General features: G+C 52.4%; 1 protein-coding gene and 1 non-coding gene across 2 annotated transcripts in view; both read right to left on the minus strand.

Moving 5' to 3' along the window:
• The window catches only part of COL17A1 (collagen type XVII alpha 1 chain), a 54,595-nt gene continuing 33,275 nt past the window's right edge, over window positions 288-21,607 (minus strand). Inside the window, exons 24-56 of the mRNA NM_000494.4 lie at window positions 21,157-21,219; window positions 20,483-20,518; window positions 19,850-19,903; window positions 19,623-19,658; window positions 19,091-19,126; window positions 18,411-18,473; window positions 17,071-17,106; window positions 16,741-16,812; window positions 15,749-15,775; window positions 14,760-14,795; window positions 12,827-12,862; window positions 12,503-12,583; window positions 11,422-11,457; window positions 10,487-10,540; window positions 10,305-10,346; window positions 10,067-10,120; window positions 9,353-9,412; window positions 8,975-9,001; window positions 8,610-8,642; window positions 8,447-8,521; window positions 8,073-8,123; window positions 7,408-7,530; window positions 6,638-6,775; window positions 6,047-6,115; window positions 5,494-5,634; window positions 4,476-4,565; window positions 4,265-4,375; window positions 3,623-3,769; window positions 2,947-3,336; window positions 2,240-2,377; window positions 1,908-1,970; window positions 1,676-1,756; window positions 288-1,292 (exon numbers count right to left, since the gene is read on the minus strand). Coding sequence (NP_000485.3) covers window positions 1,237-1,292; window positions 1,676-1,756; window positions 1,908-1,970; window positions 2,240-2,377; window positions 2,947-3,336; window positions 3,623-3,769; window positions 4,265-4,375; window positions 4,476-4,565; window positions 5,494-5,634; window positions 6,047-6,115; window positions 6,638-6,775; window positions 7,408-7,530; window positions 8,073-8,123; window positions 8,447-8,521; window positions 8,610-8,642; window positions 8,975-9,001; window positions 9,353-9,412; window positions 10,067-10,120; window positions 10,305-10,346; window positions 10,487-10,540; window positions 11,422-11,457; window positions 12,503-12,583; window positions 12,827-12,862; window positions 14,760-14,795; window positions 15,749-15,775; window positions 16,741-16,812; window positions 17,071-17,106; window positions 18,411-18,473; window positions 19,091-19,126; window positions 19,623-19,658; window positions 19,850-19,903; window positions 20,483-20,518; window positions 21,157-21,219 — 2,555 coding nt within the window. The 3' untranslated portion in view covers window positions 288-1,236. The remainder of the gene's footprint in view (window positions 1,293-1,675; window positions 1,757-1,907; window positions 1,971-2,239; window positions 2,378-2,946; window positions 3,337-3,622; window positions 3,770-4,264; window positions 4,376-4,475; window positions 4,566-5,493; window positions 5,635-6,046; window positions 6,116-6,637; window positions 6,776-7,407; window positions 7,531-8,072; window positions 8,124-8,446; window positions 8,522-8,609; window positions 8,643-8,974; window positions 9,002-9,352; window positions 9,413-10,066; window positions 10,121-10,304; window positions 10,347-10,486; window positions 10,541-11,421; window positions 11,458-12,502; window positions 12,584-12,826; window positions 12,863-14,759; window positions 14,796-15,748; window positions 15,776-16,740; window positions 16,813-17,070; window positions 17,107-18,410; window positions 18,474-19,090; window positions 19,127-19,622; window positions 19,659-19,849; window positions 19,904-20,482; window positions 20,519-21,156; window positions 21,220-21,607) is intronic.
• On the minus strand, window positions 17,091-17,188 carry MIR936 (microRNA 936). The gene has a single exon (NR_030760.1). It is a non-coding gene; the product is annotated as a microRNA 936 (primary transcript).

The raw sequence follows: 21,607 nt of genomic DNA on the forward strand, positions 1-21,607 counted from the left end.
TGCAAGTAATCTTCTTGCTCATTTGTTGCATGTTTATTTCAAATAACTTATGCTTGGGGAAAACTTTCATGTGCTTTGTAAAATCCCCAGATTGAGTTCATAGTTGCAGGTATCTAAAGATTTGCCTTTGAAGACCTCAGGGATTGAATGAAATACCAGAAGCTATGCCCCAAAATACAACCACTTTTGTTTTCTTGTGTTTGTAATAAACAGTGTTAGAATCAGACCCAATTAACCCAGACTATTTTTTAATCTTTCTTTGGTCAGACGAATCACATTAAACATGATATTAGAAAAAAAAACTTCTTTAATGGGAAATTTTACGATTGAAATGATGTTTCATCTTATAGACCACAAACAAATGTTTTTAGACATTGAAAAGTGGTTAAAGACCAACTGCGCCCAGTCCCCCAAGTGCCATTTTCTGAGTGCAGAATGGAGGGTGACGTCTTGAGCTGATGCTGTGTCCCCAGCATCAGGTTTTCTGTTTTCCCTCTTCTCCCTTTATTCCTTCCTTGTCCATTGCCCTCAACCTTCTTTTTCTGTTTGCTCTGGCCTGGTTCAGTATAACATATCCATGAACTCTAGTATGGGCCTACGGACAATCATAGCTACAATCAGACTTTCTAAGCAAATGGGAATGTGATATACATATAACCATTAGAAACCCTATCATCACCTCCTAGAGGGGAAGTGAATTTCTTAATTTTTTTAGTTGCAAGAGTCACTTCTTAGCCAACTGACTAGAGAATGCAGAATGAACAGGGGAGGAAGGAGCTGATGGCACAGCCTTAGAACAGTAACCAGAACACACCCCCATCAAGTGTCACCTCCAGGAAGGCGCCCCACCCCCATCCTCCGTTTTCTGGGCTCATATTTAGGTAAAGCTCTAAGACTCCTGAGCCAACTTTTATGTAACTGGCTTTCCTAGGCTGGGGCTTGAACTAAGTAAAGAAGCCAAGGAGTTCAGATCTAGATAGCAGAGAAGTAAGTCTCATTCTAAAACATTGCAACTACTGTTAGAGTCCACCCCATGAAGCTGTTTCAGATTGTGTATCTTTGACTGAATTCTATAAGTATATATTGTTCAGACTAAAACAAATGTTGCTAGCTAGGTTGGCTGTGCTGTCTCAGTAGGACATTGACAGACTCCAGCTTTCACCCTCTGGAGACCTTGGACCTAAGTGCCACATGCATTATGAGACCTGGTCCAGGAGCTGTCCTGCCATGGCTAGCTCACGGCTTGACAGCAATACTTCTTCTCCTTCTCCGCCCAGCATAGACTTGGTCACCTGAAAGTTAGAAGATCAGTAGGAAGTTAAAACATATCTTGTGGCCTGTGGGGATCTTGGCTTGGGCAATTATGGCAACCGTGACTACTGCAAAGATGGCTTCAAAGGTGAAATCTTTTGTAAGACTACATTTATTTAACTTGTTTGCCCCATTTCAACACCAGCTTGGTTCTCCTTTTCCTCCCTGCTTTGACACTCTCCTTTTCTTCCTCACTGTGAATGGGATTGTTATGCAAATTCTGCTTTTGGCAGTGTCTGCCTGGAGTAATTGGCATTTGCCTGAATTTCTCAGGCTTGCTCTGGAACAAATCACCTGCTTCTCTAATGAGCGTCAGCCTTGCAGCCCTCCAGAACATGCAAAACGTGGAGCAGTCAACACTTACCTTTGTCTCCTTTTTCTCCCTTGTGTCCTCGAGGGCCAGGTGGCCCAGGATGACCTGGTGGCCCAGCAGGGCCCCTGTCACCTGGAAGGAAAAATGGGGCGTAACTAAGTAATACATGAGTCTGGGGACTGAGGGCACAGGTAGCCGGTGTGGCACCAGCACAGGAGCTGCTTTTCAGTACGAGGTGGGTGTTAACACAGGATCCAGGGACTGGCTCTCTGCCACCACTTACCTTTGGGTCCTGGAGTGCCCATCTCTCCTTTTTGCCCAGGGGGTCCTTGAATGGCTCCATAAGCTGCAAAAGCAAGGAAACACTGGCCTTAGAGTCTTGATCACCTGGAAGCTTGGGACATCAAGTCATTTGTTCAGAGTAACACAGAGAGATAGTGATGGAGTTTGGACGTGTAAGAGGAAACAAAGTTCAGAATTTATAGAATTTGTCTAATTTTGAGCATCTCAAATGTTAATAACTGGAGATTTCTCATGAGACTGGTGTCTCTGGAGCAGACCCGTGGGAACCTATGCAGTGAGGCAGGTGCTGGGAAAGCAGTTGGATGCCCTTACTTTGGAAGAAGTCCATGAGGTCCGCAGTCACGTTGCTGTAGGCAGAGAAGACCTTGCTGATGCCGGGTGGCCCCTGTGGCCCAGGCTGGCCTGGTGGGCCCTGGACAGTGTAGGCCATCCCTTGCAGTAGGCCCTGACCTGTAAAACACCAGAGCTTGGGCACAGGAAGCAGGGATCTCCCAGTACCCTCTTCAGCAGGAGCACAGTGCCCTCCGAGTGTCAAACTCCCAAAGCAGTTGAACTAGATCAAGCCGCAGCAAGGGTGAAGCCCTCCAACTTCCTTTGTATTCCACTGTGTGACTGGCACAGGTCTCTTCCTGCTGTGGGCCGGCATCAAAAGCTTGTTGACTGCGTAACTGTGCCGTTAAGCTGCGCGGGGAAAGGACTCTTAGCCAACATCCTTCTCTCGGCCCCAGCAGAAAATCCAGCATGGTCATATGACTCATCTGGGACCCAGAACGAGCTAGGTGTTGGGAAAACAAAGTACAAAGCCCCCAGCGTGCTCTGTTCCCCACAGCTCGGGTCCCAGGACTGGGGCTCCTTAAGCTGAGTAGGCTGAGAGCTAGGCTGGGGCTGCCTGTCCCCTCCAGCCCCTGCCTGCTTGATTCTGTCTTCACAGCCTGGGGGTTCCACAAACAAGAAAGCCAGTCTGGAGATGCTCCCACGCTCCTTCCCCCCAGCACCAAGGCCTAAATGTCCCCACTTACGCTGCATGCTCTCTGACACCCTCACAGCCAGCTCATTGTAATCCAGATCTCCAGCAAAGTCAGCTCCCAATAGTCCGCCATTGCCAGCATACATGCCGCCTTCTGCTGCTGCCCCATAGCCTCCGCCTGGGCCGATGTCAGTGCCATAGGGACCCCTGTCTCCTGCAGCTTCACCAAAGGCACCGCCTGCACCCAGGGAGCCTGCACCACCTCCTCCTGTGCTCATGGAAGAGCTGTAGGAGCTGCCCCGCCTGACAGATGAGCTGTGTGAGGAGGAGCTGCTACCCCGACTGTGGGAGGCATCCGTGGACAGGAGGCGGCTGTCCCCAGGGGGTCCCTGCGGCCCAGGAGGGCCTGGGGGGCCAACAATGAAGCTGCGCACATCAGGACCTGCAGGGTGAGAAGCTGCATGAGTGGGAGCTCAGATCTCGGTGGAGAGAAAGACTTGGGAGTTAGGGAGTCTCTCCCAGGGTGTCAATGCCCCTGAGAGACCAGAAGTGAACTTCAGGGTTCTTGTACCCGAGTGGGAGAATTTTGGTGTGGAAGGAAACCGGGCTTACCCCACCAGTGGCTCTCGTGTGGCCTTCCTGTCCCTTTAAGTGCCTCCCTGCCCCACTTACAGGGAAAAGCAAGGCCTGCGGGGTGCCTGGTGGGGCATCACCGTCGGGGCACCTACTTGTGAGGTAGCTGATCAGCTCGCTCCGGAAGCTGTCGCTGTTTTCAGCTGCATAGGTTGCCAGGGCTCCTGAGACACCCGGGGGCCCTCGAGGCCCTGGGGGACCAGGAGGTCCTGGAGGGCCTGGGATGAATGACAAGCCGGCAGCTGGGCAGAAGGAAGAGAAAGAAAGGTCGGGGTAGTGCTGCGGAGGAAGCTGAATTCCCAGCCTGTGCTCGGGGCGCTGTGGGCCCCACCTGAAAGGAGGGGATGAGGCTGGGCCTCCCGGGTGATGGGAGGAGAGAAAAGCAGGAGGCCAGAGCCTGCTGTTTCCTGACATCATCCAGGAATGGCTGTTCCCGTCAGGCTCTCCCACTCCCAATTCTGAGCCTCATTCAACTCAGCCCTCCAGTCACTGAGAGGTGGAGCCCCAGGTCGGCCCTAATCACACACCGGGCTGCGCCTGGGAAAGCCATCTCTCCCCACCTCTGTCCCTGCCACGGCTGAAGGCCCCTTGCCAGCACATGTGGCGCTCTCCAGGGCCCTGCACCCAGCACTGTACAGGCTCCAGGAGCACTTAGACTGCCCTTGCTAAAGCCCATGGGAGCCCCCAAGGCCCGGCTGCATCCCCTGCCCTCCCCATCCCACTCCACAGTGCCCTACTATGTAAGTAAGACGAGAGGTCCTCCACGCTGATGCTGGACCACACATTGCCTGGGATCCCTGGTGGACCCGGGGGACCTGGGGGTCCAACGATGCCTCTGAATTCAGACCCTGAGACACCAAGGGAGGGCACGGAGTCAGTCCTGGCCTGGGCCAAGGGACTCTGCTTCCTCCCCAACCAGTTGGACAGATGTCCCCTGCTGGGCCTTACCTCGCAGCAAGGAGAGGAGCTCCTCATAGGAGGTTCCCGGCAAGCCAGGGGGCCCCGGGGGACCAGGAAGCCCAATGCTGATCCCAGAACCTAGGGAGGTGATGGATTCAGATCAGGCAGGGGGAGGCAGATGGAAACACCTGTCAGAGAGGAGGTCGGATACAGAAGAGGTTTGGACAGAAGTGGGGTCCAAGAAAGAAAAGAGATGGTGGCAGGAAGAGAGGCAGAGAGGAGGAGCCCAAAGGAGGAACGGAGGGGCCCACGGGGCCGGAGAAGCAGGTCCAGTGTGCCTGTGTGCTTCATTCTGTGTGTGTGTGTGTATGAGTATGTGTGTATGGGAGTGAGTGTGTGTGTGTATGGGAGTGTATCGGAGTGTGCGTATGGGAGTGTATGGGAGTGTGCGTGAGTACTGGAGTGTATGGGAGCGTGTGTATGGGAGTGTGTATGAGTGTGTGTGTATGGGAGTGTATGGGAGTGTGAGTACAGGAGTATGGGAGTGTGTTTATGGGAATGCGTGTGTGTATGCATATGTGAGTGTGTATGGGTGTGTCTGAGTATGGAAGTGTGTGTATAGGAGTGTGTGTATGGGAGTATGTGTATGGGAGTGTGTATGGGAGTGTGTGTGTATGGGAGTGTGTGTGTATGGGAGTGTGTGTATATGTGTGTGTATGGGTGTATGGGAGTGTGAGTATGGGTGTGTGTGTATGGAAGTGAGTGTGTGTGTGTATGGGAGTGTGAGTATGGGTGTGTGTGTATGGGAGTGTGTGTGAGAGAGAGAGAGTTGTATGTAGACTCCACACGAGACAGTGCCTGAGACCCCCGTTTTGGCTTTCCTTGCCATGCTTCTTGACCTGCTCCAGGCTCACAGGTTTGAACGGCTCTGAGCACTGCTCATTGCTGGGGTTGGTGCAGTCTGGCAGGTGGGGGTCAGTGGGGCAATCACAGGGAAGTTCACGCTGCGAGTCCTCATCCCAGTCATCCCAGGCCCTTCCCAACCACCCCTCCTGCAGACACTTACTCGACATGTAGCTGAGAATGCGACTACTCAGCTCTGCATAGTCCAAAGACAGGAGGGACCCATCTCCACTGGCTCCTGGTGGCCCTGGCGGACCCCGAGGGCCCATCAAGTACTGACGTAGGTACTGACGCACGTCATCCCCTGGAGAGGAGAGGATGCACTAGCAGGACCCACCCAGGCCATGGGGGTCGCAGCCATGATCCAGCCACAGCCTGGGCTCCCCTGCACAAACTGGCTCCTGCGTGACATTTGTGAGTTCTGGGTCCGCAGGACCACGGTGTTCAGGGGGGACACCAGCAAGCTGCCAGGTTCCCAAAGGGACACCTGCCAGCTTGTCTGGCATGGGGGCTTGGGAGGACATTTCCTGCCCCCTTTCCAGCCGGTTTGCTGACTCAGCAAGCAGATCAGAGCAGTAAGTGGCTCTTTGTCCAAAGGACTCTGCCTCCCTCTTGCAGCCCTTCCAAGGCTCAGACGAGGACAAGGTTTGCATGACGAGTGAGGCCAGGAGAAAGCAAAGATAGTCCCACCCTCGATCCCCCCACAGGTGACTCACGCTGCAGCACAGCCAGAATGTCTTCAGAAGAGATGGAGGACGAGAACAAGCTGACACCGTACCCCGAAGCTGTCGGGAAGAAAACCTCAGGTTACCTGCTTAGCAGGTACTGAAGCAACACCCTCACTATTCCAGAATCTGAAAGGCCCGGTCACCGAGCTGTTTGTCTTTGGGGGAAGTGGATGAATGGAGTATTACGAGGCTATTTTGAAAGCATAACAAAGTCAAATACTGTTGTTGGGATTTTTTTTTTTTTTGTAAGAAAGGAAGTTTATTTTTGAGAACATGCTTTAGCCTAATGCCTGCCAGATGCTGCCAACCTTCATGCACAGGTGGGAAGAACCTATAATTAGGAACACATTAGTCAATTGCCGGAAGGCTCACTCGGTGTCTCTCCAGCGTGGCCGCCCTGAATCTGGACAGACCCTTGTTGACACTGTATCCCAGTGGCCCGATTATTATGAATTCGGAATTAAAACTCATGTTCCAGAGAAGGGCAAAGCAAACAGCAAACGAGGAGATGAGGCTCTGGGAGCAAAAGCAGACCCACAGGAGGAAGGTGCCAGGTGCAGGGCGTGGGGAAGGGCTTACTCCGTAAGTAGCTCACAACGTGGCTTGCCAGCTCTGAGTAGTCGAAAGTCTCGCCTGTGATGGTGGTGACAGGTCCTGGGGGACCAGGTGGGCCTGGGGGACCCTGAACTCCGGATAGGTAAGATCTAATACTGTCACCTGCCGACCAAGGAACAAAGCAAAGTCAAGCCTGTCCCAAGAGGACATGTTCTCCCCACGGAGGTGACCTGAAGCACATGATAACATGCCTGCCCCGCCCCACACATGGGCCCAAGGCTGGGCCAGGAGGGAGCCTAGACTTCCCCTCACTGTCCTTCCCCTAAATTACAGATGGAGAAACTGAGGCAGAGGCCTGAGCTGGGTCAAGTGGCCCATGAGGGCTGTGGGCCAGCAAGACTCCAGCCAGCCACCCATTTGACAAATGAGCACATGCAAGGTGTGGTGTGAAAGCATGTGCGTGTAGGGGATGAGCACGTGCGCCAGCCTCCTCCCCAGGGTGTGGGCGAGGTGAGGCTGTGTCGGGGGCAGCTATGAGAAGGCTGGTGTTGGGGAGCTCATAGGCCTGTAGGCCTGGCTCTGCAGGGGGAAGACCTGGGCCTGGACACATAGACACACATACACACACACACACACACACACACACACACACACACACACACACACACACTCCCACTGCCCTACATCGTCCCATGTCTCTTAGCCTCATTTCTGTGATGATACCACAGCTCCCTTGCAAAGAGACTGTATCTCCATGTTCTTGTCCCCACGGCTTGCGGCGGCCAGCTACTCACTCTGCATGTACTCAGAGATGTACTGCTGAATCTCCTGGCCAGAGCTGCTGATAGAGCCCGGAGGCCCAGGGGGCCCAGGGGGCCCTGGCGGGCCTGACACGTACATGGTACTTGATGATCCCCCTGCAGCAAAGAGAAAGCGTCCTGTGTCGGTTTCTCCACCCTAGGGTCAGACAAACGGGCCCAGGAATAGCTTCCATGGTCTGAGGAGGGAGGGTCTTCTCAGGAGGAGAAATAGGATAGTGGCAAGGAGAAGGGTCCCCGAGAAGAGAAGAAAGGACAGCCTGTAACAGCCACTGTCTGAAAGTGGCACAGAGCTAGGAAGCTGCCCCAGGCCAAACCGCCCTTTCCTTCTGCAACCTGCTGAAGGACCCCCAACATCGCATCCCCCTTCTCTCAACTCCCCAGCACCCTGGGTCTGTCTGTTCTCCATCATGCGGTGTCTGCATTGTTAGGTATCATTATATGTACCTGGGTCCTTCCCCTCAACCCAATAACTCGTAACCTCCTTAAAGGCAGCTCATAGGTCCTAGCACATGGAGAAGACAGCCAATCAACAACGAATCATGGAGAAATGAATGAACGAATAGAGCAACATCCTCACTGGAATGATCAGCCTTCACCAGAAGAAGTGGAGAGGAACTTTGGTCACTTTCAGTTCTTACCTTCAGAAGGACCACTAGGAATGCCAAGAGCCCCTGGAACACCTGGATCACCTGGAATCCAAAATGAGAAGTTTGCCTCACCTCCTCCAGGAAGCCTTCCCTGGTTAAGCCAAACCACACTTATTAGTGTGTGTCTCAACAATCGTCCCATGTCTCTTGGCCTCCTTTTTGTAATAATACCACAGCTCCCTTGTACAGAGGCTATATCACCATGTCCTTGTCCCTTCCACCCTCTGGCCTTTCCTTCCTCCAGCCTCTTCTCTCTCCCAAGACTTTACACTGATGAGTACTTGCTGCCATCTCTTCAGGCTCTGGGCTCTGGGCACCAGGCTCACCCCTACTCCTCACCACCTTCTCACTGCTCCCTCACTGACCTTTGTCACCTTTGGGTCCCTGGGGGCCAGGTGGGCCTGGTGGTCCCTGAAGGTTGAGTCCGAAAGAACTGGACCCTGGAAGCCAACAACACACACAGTGCAGTCAGCCAGGGTTTGGAGAGGCTCTGGCCAGAGCCAGAATGGGGCGGGGTTCAGCCCTTACCTGAGGTTGAGAAACCTGGGAGGCCTTGCTCGCCTGAGGAACACACCAAGGGAGGGACAGTCAGCCTCACTTTTCTCACCCACTAACAGCCCTGTAGAGCCTCCCCAAGATCCATGATTGCTGGGGCTGCGTTGCCCTTTGGGCAGTACCTAGAGATGCCACACACACACACACACACACACACACACGCACACGCACACTTGCACTACACCCATGCACACACTCAACCATTCCTAGAGAAACACTGCTCTACTCTTGCTTATTTGCACCAGGTGCCTTTCTATCAAGCTCAAAGCTCTTGGGAGGTGAGCTTTTGCCATCCCCACCCCTACCCCAGGTTTTGTTTGATGCCGGCTCTACTGTACCTTGGTGTCCTCTGGGGCCTGGGGGACCTGAGGGAAAAAGGCAGAGAGCTATGAGACAGGTACCAACCAGGTGTTGTGGTTTCAATGGGCCCATGGAGGAGGGGATAGGGGCTCCAATGCTAGAGCAGATATAGAACTTGGGGTTCCTTGTGCCTCTCCTCTCACTAGGCCAATGTTGGGTGGCTATCCTTTGTAGAGTTTCTGACTATTGTGCCTCCCCCTCTACCTTTGCTCCAGGCTGCTGAGTTCCTAATGGGATAAGGCAGAAGGATGCAAAAATGCCCCAGCTCATTCAGCTTCATCCAAACCCTCCTGGCAACCAGCAGGTAAACAGAGGACACATACTGGCTTCTGGGTTCCCTGATACACTGTTCTCACCTTGGTCTCCCTTGGGACCTGGGGGGCCAGGTGGGCCTGGGGGGCCGGAGAGGAAGGTTTCTGCAGAGGAAGGAAATAGTTTGAGTATGGACACTGATGTTTGTGAAGAAGCAGCACTTTGCACAGCACCTGACAACATAGATGCTCAATCAATACTTGTCAAATAGTTGGATGGGTGGATGGATGGATGAATGGGTGGGTGGATGAATGGGCGGGTGGGTGGATGGATGGATGGATGGATGGATGGATAGGTGGATGGATGGATGGATGGATAGGTGGATGGGTAGATGGATGGATAAATGGATGGGTGGATGGATTTTCCACTAGGAACAGGTTCTGGCCTAATGTTTGCTTTAAAGTTATTTCCACAAGTTTCTATGTTGTACGGTCGGCACTTACTTCACGCGCATGTATCCTGCCTACTTTATCAGACCTGGGCTCCCCAAGGATAGGAACCAGGTCTCCCTGGTTAGGCCAGAAGCTCCCCAAGGGCAGAGCTGGCTCCCTCCCTCAGGCCAGACTACCAGGGTGGTTGGGTTGACATGGTTATTCCCTCCATGTGCAGCAAGCAGGAAGATTATATAAACATATCCCCATGGAAGTCAGGAGCAGGAAGCCTGGTGAGTAGGTTGTGACCACAAGGCTACGGCCACAGTCTGTGGCAGGACAAGGGCTGAGGTGGAGAACAGGTGCGACTTGACTCCCTGACATTACCTGAGTTGGACAGGAACGATCCTGGTGGGCCTGGTGGGCCTGGCAAACCCTCCCCTAGGAAAGAGAACCCCCAAGACTTATTAGTGCCAAGAGGGGAGCCAGGAACCCTCTGCTCAGGAGGAGGCAGCAGGGAAGCTCTTTCCTATAAGCCAGCCCAGAGGGCCCTGGGCTCAGGGTCCCATTGCTACCCACCTCTCACCTCCCCCTCCCACCTCCCAGTGGTAAGCTCGGCTCTCACCTGGTGGGCCTCGGGGTCCTGGTGGGCCTGGAATGGAAGGCCCTGCAGAAGAGAGCAAGGAAGAGGCCATGCTGAGCTCAGGGAGCTGATGCCACCCCTGAGGATCTTGGCTTCCTCACTAAGTGCATTGAATCTCCTGTCCCCCAAACTCCCCACCTTCCAAAGGTCTCCAAGATACTCACCTGGTGGCCCGCGTGGGCCGGGTGGGCCTGGGGGACCTTGTAAATTAAGAACTTCTATAGAGAGAAGAAAATAGAAATGAGCAAAAGCTGTCACGAGGCTGCTCTCTGCCACACTTCTCACCTCTCACTGGATCTGCAGTTCCAGGCACTCCAGGCTACCCTCACAGCCCAGACACCAGGCCCTGTGTCATGGCACAAGAGCCTGCAGCACCTCATCTGCTAAGGGTGCCCCTCACTCAGAGGCAGGGCAGGACCATAGTCAAGCTCCCTGACAGCTGATAAGAGCATGTGGAATGATGGGGATACATTGGATTTCGGTGTCAGAAAGTCTGAGTTCAAACCCCTGCTCCCACACGTCTAGCTGGTGACTTTGGGCAAGTTCTCAACCTCTTTCAGCCTCAGTTTCCTCCTCTGTAAACCAAGGTCAAAAAGATCTACATCACGGGGGTGTTGGGAAGACTCGGTGAAACACTGAAGACCAAGCTCCTAACACAGTGATAGCTCAGAGTGAGCGCTGGACCGGGTGGGCTGAAGCCTCTGCTGTTCTGCACTCCAGATGTCCAGGTGGGAGGCCCGGCAGTCTCCACCTGGGCTCCTTAAAGGACCCGGGAGTGAGTCCTCTCAGCCTGGGCCTGCAGCCGAGAACCCACAGACGGTTGTCATTGCTCTCTGGGTCAGCTGTACACTCCTGCCAGATACTCATCTTCAAGGCCAAGTCTGCCCCTGGTCCTCTTGTAATCCCAGAACTTCTCTGACAGCTGCCCCAAGCCCCAGGGAATCACCTTGCAAGACCCCGGTGAAGAGCCCTGGCCCTGTCCTCCTTTTCCAAAACACACCTTTCACGTCATCTAGAACAGAGAGGCCCATGTCCACCCTGAGAGGAAAGTCCTCCCGACTGGGCCCATCGCTTTGCATTCTTGCAGGGTGTGACATACCTTGATGTCCTGGGAGACCAGCTGGGCCGGCAGGGCCTGGAAACGGGGTTGAGGAAGAAAAGGCTAAATCATGCATGTAGGGTCATAGGAAGAACTAAAGGCATAATTCCTCCCAAGGCATGGAACAGAGACCCAAAGAGGCCACCTTGCTTATTTGAGAGCAATAAGCAATTCGAGATCAGCCCTGCGGTCCAGTTGCGTGAGAACATCTCTGACAGGCACCGGGACCCCGGGGCAGGCGGGACTGCCCCCTCTGCTGCTGTCCTGTAATGGTTAGGGACTTCTACATGCCTCTATGTACTCCTTCTCACTGGAGCTTGTCAGGAGGGAAGGCTGGTACATTCTGGCCTTGGTTGTGGTAAGTTGTGTACTTCATTTGTACATAAAAATTTAAAATAATTAAAAACACATATAACAAAATAACAGGCACTTTGGAAAGGTAGGAAACAAATTGTCCATAACTCTTCAATGTGTGGGCATTTTATTTTCTTCCAGCATTTTTTCTTTTTTGCATCTTGTATTAATACAGTTGAAACCACAGAGCAGGCATTAGTGAGTGTCCTGCTCTTTCAATAAACGTTTTATCTCCTAACAACTTTGTTCAGAAGTTTTCATATTTTTGTCACCATCCCATGTGGAGATATTTTCTTCAAATAGATACCTAGCATTTTTGTTGCCCTGGATGCAGAATATCAAATTGTTTTCCAGGAGGAAACAAAGGGCTCAAGGACTGAGTCTTCTGATTGGCCACAGGCTCTGGAGGTAGACTGATCTGGGCCAAATCCTTTGTCCTGCTGCTTATTGGCCGTGGGACCTTGGGCAAGTCATTTACCCACTCCAAGCCTCAGCCTCCCCTTCTCTAAATGCTGAGAGCACATTCACCTCCTATGCTGTGAAGTAGGATAACTGATCTACCTCATTGTCTGAGAATGCAAGAGTTTGCTTTTCTCAGGCCAAACTCCTTATTCTCTTTACCAGGTTCAGTTCCTGCCCTGGGTTTCAGGATCTGAAGAAATATGGCTAGAGTCACTACCGCCAAGACCTATTGCTGATTTGGGGCAAAGCAAGAAAATAGACTGACCTGGGGCACCTGGAGGTCCTGGGGGTCCCATGGCTCCAGGAGGTCCTGGGGGGCCTGGGACAGTGAGCATCGATGACCCCTCTGAAAACAGAAGGCACATGGAACATTGAGCCCTACTTTTCTCACTCAGAGGCGCTGGGACCCAAGCCAGGTTGTGGTGGGCAGCCTGGCATTTCTTCTTCTCATCGCTGCTAAATTTCCCTCCTCCCCCGCTACTGATCCAAAAAACTCCCAGCCACATCCTGCCCAGAACGCTGCAGAGTCAAGGTAGGTGCCCAGTATAAGAAAGACACAGAAAGGAGGGTCCCTCTAGGACCTGCCTACCCGAAGTCACGATCTTGCCTGGAGCTCCTGGTTCACCTAGGAAGAGAGGAAAAGGCTGAGAGTGGTTGTTCTGAGGATCAATTAGTGGCTCAATAAGCCATTTTCAAGGCTTCTGATTGCATTTGGGACCCACTTCTGGGCCTCTCACCATCAGGCTAAAGGCATTTTAATGAACTGAAGGAAGGCAAGCAGGATGCATTAAGCCCCAATCTTTCAGCCAGAGTCCCTGGAGGCCAGAGCATCCGTCTTCATTCAGAGAAGTGGCTTCACTTGAGGATGTGGAAAGCTTGCCTTTCAGTGAGCCCAGAATGGGGCTGACTGGAGAGTCCTTCATGCTCCCACATTCCACCACCTCTGCCTGGGAATCGCCTTAGGTGGGAAAATTACTCAAAGGTCAAAGGACAGAGGCGATGAGCCCGCCAGGTAGAGCGGGATTCCTAGAGTGCTCTGTGGGACAGTTGTAGGGGCTGTGCAGGATTAAAGGGGGGCTCTGCAGTGGGTAAGTCTAAGAAGGTCTGAGTTATATAAAGGTTAACAAGATCTCTTTTCTGCCTTGTGTCTCAGAGCATTGAAAATACAAGTGTGCGTGGAGAACTTTCGAGAAGAGGACATTCCCAAACGTATCAACTGGATGCAGTGCTGAGAACTGACAATCCACGGACTCACTTGGGGAAACCATTCTTTAGGGGCCCCTTTTTTCATTTCTCAAGTTCTGTTAGCAATTCAGTCATTCACACAATGAAAGGAGACTATTGCTCTCTCCCCTAAAGGAAAGCAGAGGGATGGTCTCTGCTCACCATCCTTCAGCCAGGGCTCATGAACAAGACGGGAGAAGCACTTGAGTTTGTTTTGTTGGGATGCAATCCAACGTTCGGTAAAATGGCCCCTCTTGTGCATGTTGTCCAGGCAGGGTCTGAACTCCCCCTTGGACTGGAAGTCACGGGCCCTCAAAAAGGGAAGGTTTCTGTTATTCTTGGGAATTCCAAAACCTATGAGACTCTTACAAAAGGTACCATCCATTCGTGAACATATCCACGGACCTAGTGTGGTCTGCCTGGGACCTATAAACTCAGTTATCATTATTTTGGAATTACATTTAGTTAGCCCTAAAGAACTCCTTGGCCCAATCAGTCATTGGAAATGATTTCTGGAAAGTGGTTATTTTAGGGTCCCACCAAGAGTGACAGTGACTGCTCATGACAGAGCACAGCTCCATAGAATGTCAAAGTTCAGGAGCGTGTTGGAATCAAAGGAACAGAAGGACAAAGACCATCCCTGAGCACTGTGGGTCCCTGAACTTGCTCGGGGTTGAGGTCTGATAGGCAGAACTGGACAAGAGGGTCACTGTGTGCATGGGCATCACCACATTGCCCCAGTCAGACCCCCGAGGATGAGCTCCCCTCTGAGTACCCGACTTGCCCTCTCAGTAGCATCTTAACACTCCTCTCTGCCTGTACTAAAGCCTCCTCTCAGGAAGGGTCTGATGTAGCCATTCACACCAAGGCTGATATGAATGATAAGGGCAAAGGTAGCTCCTGCCCCAGGGGAAAAGACTTGTTAGGAGGGGACCAAGCCTACATACCAGGGGGATGAAGCACTAATGGGGGCATTTAGAGGCAAAACAGGGCACAGAAAGGCTTTGGGGAGGGCAGTGCCCTTCTAGAACCTCCTGTAACAGTGGCCTGGAGACATCCAAGTATGAAAGCAAGGCTCAGGTTTGTGGGGTGGGGAGGTGTTTGGGGAGGGGTGGGGCTTGAGGACTGGGCTTGGTTCACAAATCCCTGGGCTCCCAGCCTCATAGCCCTCTGCTAGAACCACTAGATGCCACTGTTGATCCAGGCTCTGGCCAGAGAGAGGCCTCCTCCTGTCCATCCCTTCCTTCCACAAAAATGGCCAGTGAAAAGAAAGAAATCTCATTTGGAAATTCACTTACCTTTTATTCCTGGTCGGCCAGGGGTACCGGGAAGTCCTGATGTGATTAGAACAAGTAGTCAGGACGATGAAGGCCCAGCAATTCCAGATACCCTTGGGTGGTCACTAGTGCTCCGTCACTCAGCACAGCCACACTGCTGACTGAAACCCTGGGACGCACCAGCTTTGCCTTCCGCCTTAGTCTAGACAACCCCGGGGAGCCTCTTGCTCTGAGCCCTTGTCCCTCTTTGGGAAATGGGGCAACAGCTTGGCTTGGAGCAGGCAGAGGCCTATGGGCTCAGTTTTGGAGGGTTCCATCCCTTGGGGTTATGAGCCACCTGGAGCCTGCAGAGCAGCCTCTGTCTCCCTTCTCCCCTGCAGGGGAGGGGCTCGGCTTCCTGAGTCCAATGCAGCATCACCCTCTTGCCTTTAACTACTGAACTCCTCTGTAAGAGCATTGGAAGCATGTCCCTATGAATTCAACTGCTGGGGGGCTGCTGCCTGATTTCATTTTCAATCTTTGCCTAATTTCTTTCAGGAAATTAGGGGATGAATGTAGTGATATGGGGGCACAATGGTCCAATTACAGGACAGGCTTTAACACTGAGGCTGTCCCAGAGAAACTGGGCTTTCCCGAACAAGGATGAGCGCCCATGCCCTGTCATGCCAGTGGGGGAACTTGGGCCTCTGGACTAACAGCTCTCCTGGCTAGTGGGAGCTCAGCTATGAGCTTGGGGTTCCTCTCAGATTCCTGCACCCGAGGGGAACAGGGCACAGGCAGACAGAATTGACACACAATCTAATCTCATTTCTACTCGAATGGTGTTCTAGATTGTTCTGTGCCTATTTTTCCTTCCTAAGGTGCTTCTCACGACTCATAGTGAAAGGGAGTGTGTGCCAGGGAGTTGGTGGAGGAGAGGAAACTCTGGTGACTGCAGGAAAAGCCCTGGCCCAAGCAGTTACCCCAGGAGAAGGTGGGAGACAGCAGGTGGGAATGATCCAGCGACTCACCCTGAGGTCCCTGGGGTCCTGTGAGACCTGCAGAAAATCAGACACAAGAGGGAAGAGTTGAAGGGTGGAGGCCATCCCTGGTAGCCACACCCACACCTGCAGAAACCGGTGGACACTGCAGTGGAGGGGTCAGTGGGTACAGAAGGACACGTCTCATGCCGGGGCAGCCAGCATCCTTGGACCTCTCAGCTCTGGATGGAGAGCAGTTCTTCGGGCTTTGCAGTGAAGCGACCCACCACTTTCTCAGGCAATGGTGCTGAGCCTATCTGGGTTCACAGACCCTTTTGGAATCTGAGGAGAGCCACAAATCCGGAATGCTCAACACTCACGGATCCCAATGCTGCCCCAGGTTCCCCCTCTATGGCTCCTGTCTGGGCACCCGCCAAAGGAGGCTGAGGAGGCCCCTACTCTCAGAGGCCCCCGATGAATGCCCACCCGCCTTGACCACACAGCTTTCTTGGCTGGTTTTCATTTGTTCTTCCTGCAACCCTGAGAAGTTTGCTCTTTGCTCTCGGTGGAGACTCTAACAATGGCTTCCTCCTCGGCCTCGTGGGTGTTGGTGAGGGCCCAGTACAGGAGAGGAGGACAAGAGGAGAAGGGCTCAGAGGAGCAAGATAGCGAGGTGACCTTCAAGTCTGCAGTTTTAAGAGTGTCCTTGCCCCTTTCTAGAAATCCTTATGTTTAGCTGTTAATCCCACTCTTCTGAATTGCCAGACTTAGTTACCCAGAGGTGCCAGGGCCTACAGCCACTGCACGCAAAACAACCTAACACTATGGCAGTTCCCTGCTGAGCTGCTGGAGGAAAACGGGATAAGGCACACATGGGTGCATTTGTAAACACCTGCATGCACACACACAACCATGCACATATACACCCCTTCCCCCACAACCTGCACACCTGCACATGCACACGCACACACATGCCTACATCCACACACACAAAGCACACACACACTAAGCAGGGCCATGGCTCCCTCTTCCTGCTCTGTTACCTGGCTTTCCTGGGTCTCCAGAAGGTCCTGGTGGGCCACGGATTCCAGGCATCCCAGTAAGACCTTGTTCACCTAGAGAGAGAATGGCCAACGTGGAAGTGTTTACATTTAGGAAAGCTAAACTGGTTATCACATCTGAACTGATAGTTTCTGAGGGTTTTCCTAATTGACTTGCTGGCAGGTGGAAAGGAGAAGGGGAACAGAACTGGACACTGCACACTTCCACATGCTATATGCTCCTCTGCACTATGGTTAAGGGGACTGAGGGCTGCATGCTGGAACAGGGGCTGTGACGGGAGTGAGGCTGGGGGCAGCAGATGAGTGACCAACCTCTTGGGCCTTGGTGTCCGTCTGGGCCAGCAGGACCTGGTAAAGTAGAAGCAAGGTCTCTCAGTTGCTCCTGGAGTGATTTCTGCGATTCCTCCCTCTACTGTCCCAGTGGCCTTGAAGCACATTGTGTCCCAGGAGCCCACGCAGCCATCAGCCACGGGACAGCCCTGTCTGTCACACTCTCTGGATACGGTACTCCCACTGCCCCTTCTCCTAAACCAGCAATTGTCTCTTTTCCTGTTGAGAATTGTTCAGTGCCTTCCCATTGCATCTCAAGCGCCTCGATGCTCAATGCTTGTCGCGTTTACTTGAGGGCCTAGAAGTCAAGGTCCTCCATGTTCTTGTCTCCTCTGCTCTAGGCATTATTGTAACCTCTCTCCAAAATGGTGGCCTTCTGGGACCATATCTTGCTCTTTCCCATTTCTTTGTCTTTCCCTGCTCGTGCTGTCATCCCTGCATGGAATTTTCCAGACTGGTCATGCTTAAAATCTTTCCAACTTTTTGGGACCACTTGAAATGCCCCCTCCTCCGTCCTTCCTATTGGAAGAAATCTCTCCTTTGACTGTATCCTCACAGCACTCTGTACCTTGCGTGACACTTGTCACCTCATGCAAGTCTTATCTCCCCTTGAGGGAGGTAAAGCATCTCATTTGCCTAGCACAGTGTCAGCACTCACAGCTGGGGAAGTGAACGAGAGTACACATGCTGCATCTCCACAGGTAAGGCTTAAACCCTTCTTGGGTTTGATCCTCAACATGGTCTTTTTTTTTTTTGGTTTTTTTTTGAGAGATGAATTCTTGCTCTGTCACCCAGACTGTAGCGCAGTGGTGTAATCATGGCTCACTGCAGCCTCCAACTCCTGAGTTCAAGCGATCATCCTGAGTCCCAGGGATTACAGGCGTGAATCACTGCACCTGGCTACCTCTGAGATTCTTGGTCAGTTTCTGCAGCCAGGCTGACAGGCACCTCAGGTGAACAAAAGGGTAAAAACCTGGATTTGGCCATGAGACTAGCCCTGGGATTCCTGGAACACTTGAGGCTCCTAAGGACTTCAACACTGTCTTCCCCAGGGGAGTGGGGAGCTCACAGGCAGCTCTTAGGTGAATGGACCATGCCCTGCAAGGCCTCTCCCAAAGTGGAAAGAAACCCACAGAGGTACCTGCAGCTCTCTGATCCCCAGAAAGGATGCCCAGACACAGAAATGACTGGTCAAGGGAGACTCTACCAGGAGTGGGCAGATTAGAGAGTAGGAGAGGCAGCTCTAGAAGACGGATCTCTCCAGGGTCGTGGTGACCCCTCAGATGGGGAACTCACTGAATCCATTCCTTTGGAACACTTACCCATTGCTCCTTTAGCCCCGGGCTCACCAACAGCACCAGGCAAACCTCTCATGCCAGGCTCGCCTGCAAAGGACAAAGAACTAGCTGGTTGGACACTTGCAAGCTGTGTATGCTTTAACAATGGTGGTCTGCTCCCTCCTCCAAGAGGTCAAGGAAGCAGCTTCTGCTTTGATTCCAAGGTCAGGGCCACTTGGAACCCCTGGGAAGTGGCATGGGCTCAACCAGAAACCACACCTAATCAGAATCATGGGCATGTGCATGAGTCTTATTTCCTTGGAAACTGAAAACCACCCCTTGAGTCACAGCTTTATCACTGTCAATTTCCTTTATAATCATGCCAGTTGGCAGGAGGTCAGTGGTTGAGAGGATACCGGGGTGCAAACTTTCTGCTGCTTCGGGAAGAGCTTAATTTTCTCAACTGTATTCCCCAAAAGAATCAGAGACAATCCTACACTTTCTTTTTTGCTCCAAACATTTACTGTTTGGACTATACATCTGGATACCTCCTTATCCTCCACTCCAGGCTTTATTTTCTCATCTTGTGTTTTTTCTAGATCACAAGTTCCCTGAAGGGTTTTAAACAGATTCGGTCTCTTACTTCTGGATTTTTTCCAACCTAGTGACTGATGGATTTACAAAAGTCGTGGATAGATTAAAGTAGATTCCCATGACAGACTGACCTGTGAGGCCTCGAGGTCCTTTCTCACCCTGGTCACCTAAAGCAAACAAGGGGGAGGTGGAAAAAGCCACAGTTGTGAGCAAGGAAAACACTCTCACCCAGTAACAGGGTCCCCGGCTGCAGGGTAGTTCTCACTGTATCCGTGAACTCCTGTCAGCGGATGTTGGTGAGGACACAGCATTAATGCAGCCAAAGGAGCACATCTGATCTTTGGCAGAGTCAGTTCCCCCCCTACAAACTGACTCCCCAGCCCCTGCTGTTGCACAAATTGGTGCCATGGACACAAGAGGTCAGATGCCTTGGAATTCTGTGTCTTCACCACCCCGAGAAACACTCACCACCCCAGAATTCAATGTGATGTTAGTGCTTTGTTTCCCTTCTTTGTGCCTCAGTTTCCCTATCTGAGAGGTTGGATTAGAATGAGATCTTGGTCCAGGTCCTGTGCACCCTCAGACCCTACAGTGAGGGTCCCATCTGGGCTCCCAGGAGTGAGGCAGGCCCTGGTAATGACAGAGCAGCAGTGAGTGGCATACCTTTGGGTCCTGGTGGTCCCATTGGTCCTTTGTCACCTAAAAAGGAAATGGACACCTTGGTGTAAAATGCCCTACAAGGGACAACCAGGAAGGGGCAATGTCTGTCTCTGAAGACAGGCTCCCTCAATCCTGACTTCTTCTTCCCCTCTTGCACTTGTCAGCCTGCATAGGCTGTGGGTCGTGTCCATCAGACCCTCACTGTCCCCCCAGGCCTCCCTCCAGCTTACCTTTGACACCAGGAAGTCCTACTTCACCTCGGAGCCCTTGGAGACCTACAGGACCTGCCCGGCAGAAGAAACCATGCACACAGATGAGTATCCCTAGCTTTGGAATGATGAGACATGTATGCACACACATGCACACATACAGGCACACATATGCACACACCCTATAGTAAAAGTCAAAGGATGCTTTCCATGGACTCCTTCCCAAGTCCTTTTTAAGTCATTTTGGCCCAGGTTCCTTGCCTCTGCTGATGAACAGGCATTAGAACACATTGTCGAGTCTTGGCAGAGGCACTGGCCACAGCTCAAGATTCTCAAGACAGCAGGACAAGCTCTGTGGCCATAGGGGACAAGAGAGAGGCAGGTGCTTGCTCAGATGGAGGCAGGATGGGGACTTCCATTGCTGAAGCTGCTGGAGGGTCTCAAGCCCTAAGCCAGGTCAGAAGGGATCTGGACAGGACATATCAGGGAGCCCAACCTCTGCCACAGGAGACACACATGCAGACTTGAATTCTATATCTCTAGGAGGCTTGCTTTATAATTGCTTCTTTGGCTTTAAAAATATTTGGTTTTCCTTTTAACATTGCCACCTTTGCCCTGGAAACAGAACCTATTTACAAGAAGCAGCAAACTGACCTGGAGGGCCCTGTGGGCCAGGAGAGCCGCTGGAACCTGAGAAGGAGGACAAGACAGCAATCAGCAGAGGGGCAGATACAGGTGGGGACATCTGGCCCCGGTGCAGGGCAGGTGGGGGTTAGGGACGCTGTCTTCCAGGTGAGGGCTGTGTGAGTGTATTGCAGGCCAGGGGTGACCCCAGTGCATGTCCTCCTTAGGGAGGGGGTGCAGCTGGGTGGGATCAAACTACCCTTTGCTCTTTCCTGGTCAGAGTAGAACATTTGGGCTGGGGCAGTAGAACATTTGGGTTTTGAGAAGGGGCCCATTCTCCCTGGGTTGCCCAGACATGTTACTTTTGGTGTGTGCATCTGGGCCGCAGTCAGTCAAGGAAATGGTCTAACTTCTGATTTCCTGAATGATCCATCCACCCACTTAGGGATCACATAACGGGGCCATTGAAGAGAGATGGAAACATGGCCCCAAGCCCATTATGGGGCTAAACTTACAGCCCTAGTCTTGACTCCCCAGGGACTGCTTTTCTGGGGGATGCTCTTTGGACCCACCCACCACCCCTGCACAGGCCTGGGGCAGGGGGTTAGGGCTGTCTGGGGTCCCAGGGCCTCTTCTCTGTGATCCATCCTGAATGTGGCTTCTCCTCTGGAAAACTTTGATTCCTTCCTGCACACTGGACTTACCTTTGGGACCCACAGAACCTGGGACACCAGGTGGGCCATGAGGACCTGGTTCACCAGCAGCCCCTGAGGAGAAATGGAGGGATGAGCACTTTGGGAGAGGCCCCAGTGTGGCTGCCCCCTATCCTGGCACTGTCATTTGGAGGGGATGCTTCCCACCCTGCTAGTGGTCTTGGATCCATTTGGTGCCCCAGTGAGGCCACTTATCAGCAAAACTCCTTAGCTTCTACCCCCAGAGACTTTATAGTCTATGGAGTTTGACACCTAGTAGGCACTCAATAAATTTTATTGTCTGGTTGAGCAATATTTTAAAGAGAAAGTAAAGCTGAAAATAAAGCTTCCTGCTCACAGTCTGTTAGCATTAAGAGGACTTCTGGTATCTGTCTTGGTTTCCCCTGACAAAAGCAGTCTCATAGTTAAGGATGGAATTGCAACACCTTCCCCAGCCTCTCCA

This window comes from Homo sapiens, chromosome 10 (genome assembly GCF_000001405.40).
Source record: "Homo sapiens chromosome 10, GRCh38.p14 Primary Assembly".
Classification (NCBI taxonomy): domain Eukaryota; kingdom Metazoa; phylum Chordata; class Mammalia; order Primates; family Hominidae; genus Homo; species Homo sapiens.